General features: G+C 42.5%; 1 protein-coding gene across 19 annotated transcripts in view; it reads right to left on the bottom strand.

Moving 5' to 3' along the window:
• The window catches only part of PALB2 (partner and localizer of BRCA2), a 38,146-nt gene that overhangs the window by 17,093 nt on the left and 8,678 nt on the right, over positions 1–12,375 (bottom strand). For 13 of the 19 annotated variants that reach the window (NM_001407308.1, NM_001407306.1, NM_001407313.1 and 10 more), the window contains 6 exons: positions 9,383–10,212; positions 8,947–9,018; positions 5,979–6,140; positions 3,752–3,837; positions 2,712–2,873; positions 1,105–1,221 (listed from right to left, as the gene is read on the bottom strand). In NM_001407308.1, the coding sequence (NP_001394237.1) occupies positions 1,105–1,221; positions 2,712–2,873; positions 3,752–3,837; positions 5,979–6,140; positions 8,947–9,018; positions 9,383–10,212 (1,429 nt within the window). The remainder of the gene's footprint in view (positions 1–1,104; positions 1,222–2,711; positions 2,874–3,751; positions 3,838–5,978; positions 6,141–8,946; positions 9,019–9,382; positions 10,213–12,375) is intronic. The other 6 variants (NM_001407302.1, NM_001407298.1, NM_001407307.1 and 3 more) reach the window with 4 other exon arrangements.

Consider the following 12,375-nt stretch of genomic DNA (forward strand, 5'->3'; position numbering starts at 1 on the left):
TTAGGTAAACATTATAGCTAGAATTTAGGGTTCTTTTTTTTATTTTTTGCTCTCTCCTTTTTAGGACTTTTCCCCTCCCTTTCTAGCAGCTGCGATCACCCTGAACTCTGTCCTTTGGTTCTCTAAGCCAGTGGGACAGAAGATCTTCTATTAGGCTTCCAGTCACCCAGTGAGCAGAGTGGGCCTTGCCCCCTAGCTTAAAGCCATAATAGGAATGTTGCCTAGTGCCATTCCCTTCACCTAAAGGGAGAAACCCCTCCAGTATGTTTCTTCTTTTTCTTGTTCTCTGGTGCCTTTAGAAAGTTGTTTTTTGTATTTTTTCCAGAGTGTATACTTATTCGAAGGTAGACAGTTGGTCTGACAGAAACTACTCAACCACTAACCAAAAGCAGAAAGAAGTGTACATCTTTGAAAACAGAATTCCATTTAGTTTTAAATAGTCTACTCAGACTGATCTTTTTTGGTTATGTCTCAATTAATATGATGTTGTTGGTAAGTCAAGTATATAGTATCTGACAAAAAAACCACAATCAGGCCGGGCGCAGTGGCTCATGCCTGTAATCCCAGCAATTTGGGAGGCCAAGGCGGGCAGTTCACTTGAGGCCAGGAGTTCAAGACCAACCTAGCCAACATGGCAAAATCCCTTCTCTACTAAAAAATACAAAAATTAGCCAGGCACGGTGGCTCACTCCTGTAATCCCTGCATTTTGGGAGTCTGAGGCAGGTGGATCACTTGAGGCCAGGAGTTCAAGACCAACCTGGCCAACATGATGAAACCCTATCTCTACTAAAAAATACAAAAATTAGCTGGGTGTGGTGGCACATGCCTATAATCCCAGCTACTCGGGAGGCTGAGGCAGGAGAATCACTTGAATCCAGGAGGCAGAGGTTGCAGTGAGCCGAGATCATACCACTGTACTCCCACCTGGGTGATAGGAGGAGACTCTGTCTCAAAACACAACAAAAACAACAACAACAGCAACACAAAACCACAATCATGTTTACACATACTCTCTTATTTAATCTTCACAACAACCCTGTAAAATTAGAGGTATATCCTCATACTACAGATGAGGGAACTGAGGACCTAGAGGGAAAGCTTACCAAATAACAATGTTGTTCATAATAGTAGTACCAAGCAGAGCTTCTTGCATCCCTTGGACCTCAGCAAAAGTTAGTATAGTCTCCTCAGGGGGCATCAAAAATTGGTTTTCTTTGCCTCTGTAATTAAAACAGTATGAAAAGTCAGTACTTTGCACTAAAGCAGTCTCTAGGTAGCCCTTCTCCGCATTGTTGAACTGCATAATATAAACTAACCTAATATCAGGAAAAAAAAATCTAACCCAGAAAACGTGTATACTAAACTTTCTACAATGAACATATATTACTTTCATAATATCTACCTAGATATGCTGCAAGCACCTCGAATTCATTATATTCAAAATTAAACTTGTTAACTTTTTCTATAAACCTTTTGTTTCTTTCTGCATTCCTATCTCAATGAATTGCATCACCATCTAATGTCCAAGTTTCAGGGTTGGTCACCACTCAAGTGACCACCTAGACTGGGGGGAAGGAGACAAGGATAATACCCACATTTCGAGCTTGGTCACCACTCAAGTGACCAACCCTACCATGTTGATATTCTCTCCTTCCTCTCAATCTAGTCAATCACCAAGTCCCAGTAATTTTATCTTCTCATCTCTCAGAAATCTGTCTGCTTCTTCCCATCTCCACTAACATACCCCTAATTTAAGCAAACAATTATCATCTCTTGCCTAGATTACTGCAACAGATCATGAATAAATAAGCCAAAGTTCCCTGCCCTCCATTTTTAGAAGATACATGAATAATAACAATGAAATGTAATTGAAAAATAAAAATAAAGTGTAATGAGTATATAATAGAGAAGATGCTGTAAGTTCAGTTTGCAACATTTTGAATTTAAGGTGTCCCCAATACGTCTAATAAATAGGCCTGCAGGTCTAGAGCTCAAGAAAGAGCTCAGAGGTAGAAATGTATGTTTGCAAGTAGTCAGCACCAAGATGGTCAGTGAAGCAATGGACACAAGTGTGTGGAACGAGGAAAGGGTCTAGGACCTTAAGGTATTTCTATATTTTTAAAAATATTTGTGTGTGTGTGTGTGTGTGTGTTTAAGATTAGGTCTCGCTCTGCTGCCCAAGATGGAGTGTGGTGGCGTGATCACAGCTCACTGCACCCTTGAACTCCTGAGCTCAAGTGATCCTTCCACCTCAGACTCCCTAGTAGCTGGGACCACAAGGCATGCTCTGCCACACCCAGCTAATTTTTAAATTTTTTGTAAAGATGGGGCCCTGCTATGTGGCCCCAACTGGTCTTGAACTCCTGGGCTCAAACTTCTGCCTTGGCCTCCCAAAGGGCTGGGATTATGGGCATGAGCCACTGTGCCCAGCAGAGGTATTTCTAACATTTAAGGGACACACAGATTTCAAGAAGACTGAAGAACAAACTACATTTGCTGAGCCTCTCACCTTCTTTGACTTCATCCCTGACATGTCTGGCTTCCACCTCACTAACCTGCTTCTATGTCATAACCTAGTGTTGATGCGGTACATGCTTATATTACACCCCCAGCACAGAAAAACGAGATCCTAGTTACCCAACTTTCTCTGAAACCTGTGATAAAATCATTCTTCATCTAATAGTTAAAAATCAATCAATGCTTTTCTTACCCTCCATCTTCTGCAAACGTCATGACTTCTACTTGTTGATCAGAAAGGGTCCCACTGCTACTAACTAGCCTCCTCTTTGTCAGGCCAAGCACAGCTTTTATATTTCCAGACTTCAGTAGTACTTGCTTTTCACTTTCATCATCAGAGGAACAAAACAATGCCCTAAGCCAAATATAAGGAAAAATGGGGTGATGTGAGGAGTAACCTTTTAATATTAAAGGACTAGGTTCACTTTTTTTTTTTTTTTTTTTTTGAGACAGAGTCTTGCTCTGTCGCCTAGGCTGGAGTGCAGTGGCACAATCTTGGCTCACTGCAACTCTGCCTCCCAGGTTCAAGCGACTGTCCTGCCTCAGCCTCCTGAGTAGCTGGGATTATAGGTGCGCACCACCACACCTGGCTAATTTTTCTGTATTTTTGTAGAGACGGGGTTTCACCATGTTGGTCAGGCTGGTCTCGAACTCCTGACCTCGTGATCCACCTGCCTCGGCCTCCCAAAGTGCTGGGATTACAGGTGTGAGCCACCATACCCGGCCTTTTTTTTTTTTTTTTTTTTTTTTTTTTGAGACAAAGTCTCACTCTGTCATCCAGAAGGAATGCAGTGGTGGCACGATCTTAGCTCACTGCAACCTCTGTTTCCCGGGTTCAGGCAATTCTCCTGCCTCAGCCTCCTGAGTAGCTGGGATTATAGGCACCCGCAGGTGCTATACACCAGGCTAATTTTTGTATTTTCAGTAGAGACACAGTTTCACCATGTTGGCCAGGCTGGTCTCAAACTCCTGACCTCAGTTGATCCACCTTCCTTGGCCTCCCAAAGTGCTGGGATTACAGGCGTGAGCCACTGCGCCCAGCCTAGGTTCACATTTTAAATAGAAACTTCAGTCAGGGATGTCATTCTATTGATTTTTTTTTAAACAAATCTCTCTCTCTTTAGATCTTTCAGATTCTTTCAAGACTCAAGCCTAGGTTATTACCTGCACTTAAAACCAGCTGACAGAGACAAAGATGAAGGAAAAACAAATCACTCCTTGGGAATTACATACCTGATCTCTCTGATTTCCAAATTTCCCAAAGCTACACACACGAGATTATACACATCAGGCACTGGAACTATCTGTAATACTGGAACCTAAATAAAACAAAGCAGCCAAAAATTATGCTTGGTTGTTTCATTTTTGTTTAATCCAGATTTTCCAAAATTTATCACATTCTTTTGTATTCTCACTGTACAAGGATAATTTTCATCATTTGAAGGCTCAGAAAACTCTTTTTATTAGCTGTAAATCTAAATAAACTATATGCATAATAGCATAATAGTGCTTACTGAGCATTTACCTAATGCAAGGTATAATTCTAACAATAGGGGAATAATTGGGTATATTTTGGCATGTGAATGTAAAGAATATTTATGCAGCCATTTAAAAGTATATCTATGTTCACTGAACAAATATTTATTGGGCACCTCTGTGTAAAGCACAGTGTTAGATGTTGTATATATTTGGAGAGCAAGAATGAGGTATATTCAAGTATGAAGACTCTACAGGAACAAGGAAATTTTTTTTTTTGAGTCGGAGTTTCACTCTTGTTGCCCAGCCTTGAGTGCAATGGCACAATCTCAGCTCATTGCAACTTCCACCTCCTGGGTTCAAGCGATTCTCCTGCCTCAGCCTCCTGAGTAGCTGGGATTACAGGCATTCGCCACCACACCTGGCTAATTTTATTTTTAGGAGAGACGGGGTTTCACCATGTTGGTCAGGCTGGTCTTGAACTCCTGACCTCAGGTGATCCACCCACCTCAGCCTCTCAAAGTGTTGGGATTACAGGCGTGAGCCACCTCGCCTGGCCAGAAAAATGTTTATATGTATGGTGAGAAAAGACAGATCTAAAAATTTTAAGCACACTAAGATTGCAAGCTTGTAAGATGTATATGATGGTGGGAAAAGACCAGAAGGAAATACATGTAGAAAAGAAGCAAAATAATGCCTTGGTGAAGGGCAAGGAGTACAAATATCAGCAAGTGTCAAAGTCAGAATAGACATAAAATTCTAAGCTCCTCCAACAGGTCTAGTGTAAAAACCCGTCTCTAGGCTGGGTGTAGAGCTCATGCCTGTAACCCCAGCACTTTGGGAAGCCGAGGCGAGTGGATCACTTGAGGTCAGGAGTTAGAGACCATCCTGGCCAACATGGTAAAACCCCATCTCTACTGAAAATACAAAAATTAGCTGGGCGTGGTGGTGGGCGCCTGTAGTCCCAGCTACTCGGGAGGCTGAGGCAGGAGAATTGCTTGAACCCGGGAAGCGGAGATTGCAGTAAGCCAAGATCGCCCCACTGCACTCCAGCCTGGGCAACAGAGTATGACTCTCTCTCCAAAAACAAACAAACAAACAAAAAACCCATATCTAGATAAACCTGTGATGGGCTGGGCATGGTGGTTCACACCTGTAATCCCCAGCACTCTGGGAGGCTGAGGCAGGCGGATGGCTTAAGCCCAGGAGTTCAAGACCAGCCCAGGCGACATGGCAAAACCCTGTCTGCATAAAAAATATAGGCCAGGTGTGGTAGCTCACACCTGTAATCCCAGCACTTTGCGAGGCTGAGGCAGGCGGATTGCCTGAGGTCAGGAGTTCAAGAACAGCCTGGGCAACATGGCAAAATCCCGTCTCTACTAAAAATACAAAAAAATTAGCCAGGCATGGTGGTGGGCACCTGTAATCCCAGCTACTCAGGAGGCTGAGGCACAAGAATCCCTTGAACCTGGGCGGCAGAGGTTGACAGTGAGCCGAGATCATGCCACTGCACTCCAGCCTGGGTGACAGAGCAGGACTCCATCTCAATAAAAAGAAGAAGAAAAAAATACAATAAAAAATTAGCCAGACATGGTGGTGCATGCCTGTGGTCCCAGCTACTTGGGAGGGTGAGGTGAGAGGATTACTGAGCCTGGGGAGGTTGAAACTGCAGTGAGCCGTGATCATGCCACTGCACTCCAGCCTGCATGACAGAGTGAGACCCTGTCTCAAACAAACAAACAAAAATTTGTGATAAAGCGAACAAAGCAGGATGTTAATGGTAGAGTCTAGAATGGTGGGTATATGGGTGCTCACTATACAACTTTTCTGGATGTTTGAAACTTTTCATAATAAAATGTTGGGAAAAAAACCTCATCTCTGTTCTGCCTTGCATGGTCATAGCTCCCAATTTTGGTAAGCTGCCCATCTACATTATCAGGCAAATGGCTGCAAAGATCTCTTTCAGCTCGAGATTCCCACTTACCTCTGCGAAGTGCCAGGTATAAAGTTTTTCCCACTGCCAAGCATCCAGAGCTTTCCAAAGAGAAACTACATCTTCGCAAGCAGTTATGATACATGGCTCTTTACAACCGGCTCTTTCCCAAAACATGGCACTCACATCTACGGAACAGGAACCTGAAGGATTCTGACACAATGGCAACAGTTCTGTTAAAGTGGCACTCGAGTGCTGTTTTATGCAAAGCATAAGTATGCAAAGTGATGAATTATAATTCAATGAAACAGTAGGTATGTAAAATTTAAGTCTTATGCAGGTGAAAAGAAAGAGCTTTGTGGTTCTTATGTACCTAAAAAAATGCCTATCAAACTTACATCATGAAAGATTTTATTTTTTATTTATTTTATTAATTTTAATTTTTGGGTGTTTTTGGGACTGAGTCTCACTTTATCACCCAGGCTGGAGTGCAGTGGTGCAATCTCGGCTTACTGCAACCTTCGCCTCCCGGGTTCAAGCGATTCTCCTGCCTCAGCCTTCCGAGTAGCTAGGATTACAGGCGCCCGCCACCACACCCAGCTAATTTTTGTATTTTTAGTAGAGACAAGGTTTCACCATTTGGCCAGGCTGGTCTTGAACTCCTGACCTCAAGTGATCCACCCACCTCGGCCTCCCAAAGTGCTGGGGTTACAGGCATGAGCCACCGTGCCCGGCCCATGAAAGATTTTAAAATGTATAGTCCAGATGGAATAAATTCAGATATAACCACAAAAAAAATCCTGTAGAACTTATCCATTTGAAAATTAAACATCCTGATGAACCACTCATGGGCTGAAACCACAGGTTTCAATGTTATTCCTCGGAGGGAGTAACATTGAAACAACATACATTATACTATCTACTATTATGACCATGGGAGCACTATGTATCAAACCACAGAGCGTGGCCAAAGCAGTATTTCCAAGAAAATTTGGAAATTTCCAAGAAAAATCATAATCACGGCCGGGCGCGGTGGCTCACGCCTGTAATCCCAGCACTTTGGGAGGCCGAGGCGGGTGGATCATGAGGTCAGGAGATCGAGACCATCCTGGCTAACAAGGTGAAACCCCGTCTCTACTAAAAATACAAAAAATTAGCTGGGCGCGGTGGCGGGCGCCTGTAGTCCCAGCTACTCGGGAGGCTGAGGCAGGAGAATGGCGTGAACCCGGGAAGCGGAGCTTGCAGTGAGCCGAGATTGCGCCACTGCAGTCCGCAGTCCAGCCTGGGCGACAGAGCAAGACTCCGTCTCAAAAAAAAAAAAAAAAAAGAAAAATCATAATCACAAAGGCATTTTTAAGAAAACAAGAAAGATTAAAATCAAGTAAGCATGCAGCTCAGGAAGTCAGTACAAGAACAAAATAAGAACAATAAAAAAAAGTAGGAAGGAATGATTTACAGTTATCCTGTTTATTATAAAAACAGAAATAAATGAACTAGAAAACCAAACAACAACAACAAAAAAACACAACCCAATTAATAATCAATACAACCAAAAACTAGTTTGTTTGGAAGACCCACGTAATGGCCAACTCTCGAGTCTAATGTAGAAAAACAATAATTTAGAAATGGGAGAATGGGGAAGAGAGGCTTAATTACATATACACAGATTTTAATAATCTATAAGAAGTAACTTTTTACCTACACATTTGAAAATATGAATGAAATAGTTGATTCTTTAAGAGACTAAGTTATTAGGACACTGGGCATGGTGGCTCATGCCTGTGATCCCAGCACTTTGGGAGGCCAAGGCAGGCGGATCCCCTGAGGTCAGGAGTTCAAGACCAGCCTGGCCAACATGGCAAAACCCCATTTCTACTAAAAATACAAAAATTAGCAAGGCGTGGTGGCGCACACTTGTAATCCCAGCTACTATGGAGGTTGAGGCACGAGAATTGCTTGAACCTGTAGGCGGAGGTTGCAGTGAGTGGAGATTGGAGATTGGAGATTGCCCCACTGCACTCCAGCCTAGGCAACAGACTCTGTCTCAAAAAATAAAATAAGTTATTAAAATTGACTCAAGAATAAATTCCGAAACAGAGCATAGGTATTACTATGCATCCTTTATAGAAAAGGAATCTGGGGCTCAGAGGTTACACAATTTGTCCAAGGTGACATAGCCAGTAACTGGGAAAAACTTTATGTGGATTTGAAGTGTTTTCCTTCACACCAGTGATTCTCTGGGAGAGCTTCTGCACCCCCATCTTCAACCCTACACCTAGGACATTTAGTAATGCAACATTTTCAGTTACCACACTGCACAGAAAAGATTAACCACTAGAACTGCTCCCCATTTTCTTATAAATCACCATAAGTGATTCTTCCAGAAACATTACACCATTTGAGTAGGAGAGGCATGAATAACTCTCATTTCACTCCGTCAAAATGCCTGTTAGATTTATTTTATTTTATTTTTGAGACAGAGTCTCACTCGCCCAGGCTGGAGTGCAGTGGTAAGATCTTGGCTCACTGCAACGTCTGTCTCCCAGTTCAAGTATTCTCTTCCCTCAGCCTCCCTAGCAGCTGGGATTATAGGCGCCCACCACCACGCCCGGCTAATTTTTGTATTTTTAGTAGAGATGGGGTTTCATCATGTTGGCCAGGCTGGCCTCAAACATCTGACCTCAAGTGATCAGCCCGCTTCAGCCTCCCAAAGTGCTGAGATTATAGGGGTGAGCCACCGTGCCCAGCTCCCTAACTTAGATTTAGACATGAAGTTCAGTTACTTAGCCTAAGTTGTTCTTGCCAATAGGTTGGCATAGAAACTTTAAGAGGAGAGCTCAAAACATAAACAGAGGTAAATATTGGGAAAAATAACCAATCCAAATCTGTTTTTCTGAATCTGTTTACCAATATCTTTAATAGTATTAAAGAACAAGAAGCTATATGACTGAATTCTTTTCAGTTCATTAAAGTTTTCATATGTAAGACACGAGACACTGGAAGAGAATATTCTTCTGACCTTTAACTCTGAAACCAATTGTAGGTTGCCTGGGTTTATGCTATCAGAAGCAGGAAGCTCTGCTGTTTCAGTCTGTGAAAACAAAAGTCACATCATTAGTCTACACTTTATGTATAATGTCTGCCTGCATTACCCACTCATCAAAATGTCTACTTCGTATTGTCTTTATTTCCTCTTATAACAGCAGCAAAGCTCCAAATGCAAACTGTTTCACTGATAACAAAGAGAATAGGACCTCCCATATTTAAAAGAAACATTTTAATGAACCTTAATTTCCCCAGAATGAACTTAATGATTACAATGAAATCATATCAAAGAAACACGTCAAACCATTCTTAAACGTGGAAGGCCCAATGCGCAAGCAAGTCATGCTGTTTACATTCACTAAGGCATTTCATTCCTTCAGAGAAAATTTCACAGAGGAAATGGATTGTACCTGTTCGACGGAATGTTTATGCAGCTCCTGGCATGTGTTTCTACAGAGCTGATTTTCTTTAAAAGTGAATGACTCAATGGGTGGAGGTGTTCCTGGCGGGACAGAGTCACAGTCACAGGTAGGTTGTCCTTGCCTGCCTGACACTTGCAGGGTGGTATGTGGTTTTGCTGGGCTGCCTGAACTGTCGAATTGTTTAGTATCACTGGCAAGACAGACTGAGTCTTTCAAATGAGCAAGTTGGGGTGTGCAGCAAGTTCGTCCAGCAACTTCTGTAGATGCTTTTTCATAGGAGCCTTGAGGGCCAAAGGCTGGAGTAGTACCTAAGATGGGGAAAGCAGGTGAACACATGTCTGTGGTAGGCCTGTCATTATCATCAGGCGCAACCGTATTTAAAGGAGTATAAAGTAATATGGATGAAGAAAGGCCCGTCTTTGTATGCTGGCTTTGCGAGTTTGGCCTTTTGGGATGTGATTTTCCTGGTAGAACAATAAGGTCCTCTTCTAAGTCCTCCATTTCTGTATCCATGCGTTTAGGACTCAGTTCCTCTGGAAAAATACAGCTTCCCTCTTTAAGATGTCTCTCTCCAAACATTTTTGACTCAAAGGGCTCCACTGGTTTTTCTGAGCAGGACTTCACTTTTTCAAGCTTAAGAGGTCCAAAGTCTTCATCAGGTAACTGAAAGTCTGTGATACTGAGAAAAGACAGTAGTTGCTTTAAACTCAGCATTCCATCCCTATGAAATGGAGCCGTGAAAGCATCATCATCCAAGGATAAATAAGCACTATTACTCCAAGAAAGGGAATCCTCTTTTTGATGACGACTTTTCTTCCCTAAAGAAGAAAAATAAGTCACAAAATAGTAACAAAACCCAACAAAACAGACAATCTGTTTCACTGATGACAAAGAGAATAGGATCTCCTAGATTTAAAAGAAACATTTTAATGAACCTTAATTTCCCCAGAATGAACTTAATGTTTACAATGAAGTCCTATCAAAGAAACATGTTAAACCATTCTTAAATGTAATACCCAACAAAGAGTGAGCTTCTAAACTCAAATATACTAAAAAATGTTCATTACTTTTCCCATCCATGACTCAGAAACTTGGGCGAAGGGTTCAAACAACGGTCATGAGTTAGTTGATTAATTAGCAGCTATTTTTCTGCACTACCCAAAACAGTGTATTGCTAGCCAGGTATGGTAGCTCACAGCTGTAATCCTAGTACTTTCAGAGGTCAAGGTAAGAGAATTGCTTGAGCCCAGGAGTTCCAGACCAGCCTGGGCAACACAGTGAGACTGTCTTTAAAAACAATAAATAAATAAATAAAAATTAAAAAAAATAAGGCCAGGCATGGTGCCTCACACTTGTAGTCTCAGCACTTTCAGAGGCTGAGGCAGGCGGATCACTTGAGGTCAGGAGTTCAAGACCAGCCTGGCCAACATGGTGAAACCCCGTCTCTACTAAAAATACAAAAAAAAAAAAAAAAAAAAATTAGCCGGGTGTGGTGGCTGGCGCCTGTAGTCCCAGCTACTCCGGAGGCTGAGGTGGGAGAATGGCGTGAACCCAGGAGGCGGAGCTTGCAGTTAGCGGAGATGGCACCACTGCACTCCAGCCTGGGCGACAGAGTGAGACTCTGTCTCAAAAAAAAAAAAAAAAAAAAAAAAAACTAAACTAAAAAAATTAGCTGGGCATGGTGGTGCGTGCCTGTGATCTCAGCTACTCAGGAAGCTGAGGTAGGAGAATCACTTGAACCCGGGAGGCAGAGGTTGCAGTGGGCTGAAACTGCACCACTGCACTCCAGCCTGGGCAACAGAGCGAGATTCTGTCTCAAAAAATAAATAAATAAATAAAACCAAACCAAACAAAACAGTGTATGGCCAACAGTATAAATAAATAAATACATAAATAAATAAAACCAAACAAAACAAAACAGTGTATGGTCAATAGTATTAACTAGGAGAAGGGACTGAGGACAAGTCTCAACTCAACCACTGATTTGCAGTGAAACCTTAGGCAAATCGATTTATTTCATTTTCCCTTTTCTCATTGTCTCTCATAAGGGAAATGAACTAAAAATACCTACATTCTTTCCTACCTCTAAAACTGTGATTTCAACAGGCTGCCAGAGTATGTTCTACAAAATGCTGGCTCTTCTCACTATGGAAAACTTAGTCCCCTTTTGAAGCAAAGAGTAATTTACTGCTTTTTGTTTGCTTGTTTGTTTCAAGACGAGGTCTCACTCTGTTGCCCAGGCTGGAGTGCAGTGGCGAGATCTTGGCTCACTGCAACCTCTGCCTCCCAGGCTCAAGCAATCCTCCCACATCAGCCTCCTGAGTAGCAATTTACCGCTCTTATTGCAAATGGTATCCCACATCATTCAAAATGTTGCTATATCCTCAATGATGAATGCATAAACAAACTGTGGTATATACATACAATGGAATACTAGTCAGCCATAAAGAGGAACAAAGTACTGATGCATGTTACAACAGAAACATACCTTAAAAACATTATGCTAAGTGGCCAGGCTCAGTGGCTCACACCTATAATCCCATCACTTTGAGAGGCTGAAGGCAGGTGGATCACTTGAGGTCAGGAGTTTGAGGCCAGCCTGGACAACATGGTGAAACCCCGTCTCTACTAAAAATACAAAAATTACCCAGGCATGGTGGCAGGCGCCTGTAATCTCAGCTACTCAGGAGGTTGAGGCAGGAGAATCACTTGAACCTGGGAGGCAGAGGTTGCAGTGAACCAAGATTGTGCCACTGCACTCCAGCCTGGGCAACAGAGTGACACTCCATCTCAAAAACAAACAAACCCATTATGCTGAGCAGCCAGACACAAAAGGTCACATATTGTATGATTCCATATATATGAAATACCCAGAACAGGTAAATCCATAGAGATAGAATGCAGATTGGTGGTTGCCCAGGGATGAAGTAGGGGGTCAGGGGAGGAAATGGGTAGCAGCTGCTTAATGGGTATGGGGTTTA

Source organism: Homo sapiens, chromosome 16 (assembly GCF_000001405.40).
Source record: "Homo sapiens chromosome 16, GRCh38.p14 Primary Assembly".
Lineage (NCBI taxonomy): Eukaryota > Metazoa > Chordata > Mammalia > Primates > Hominidae > Homo > Homo sapiens.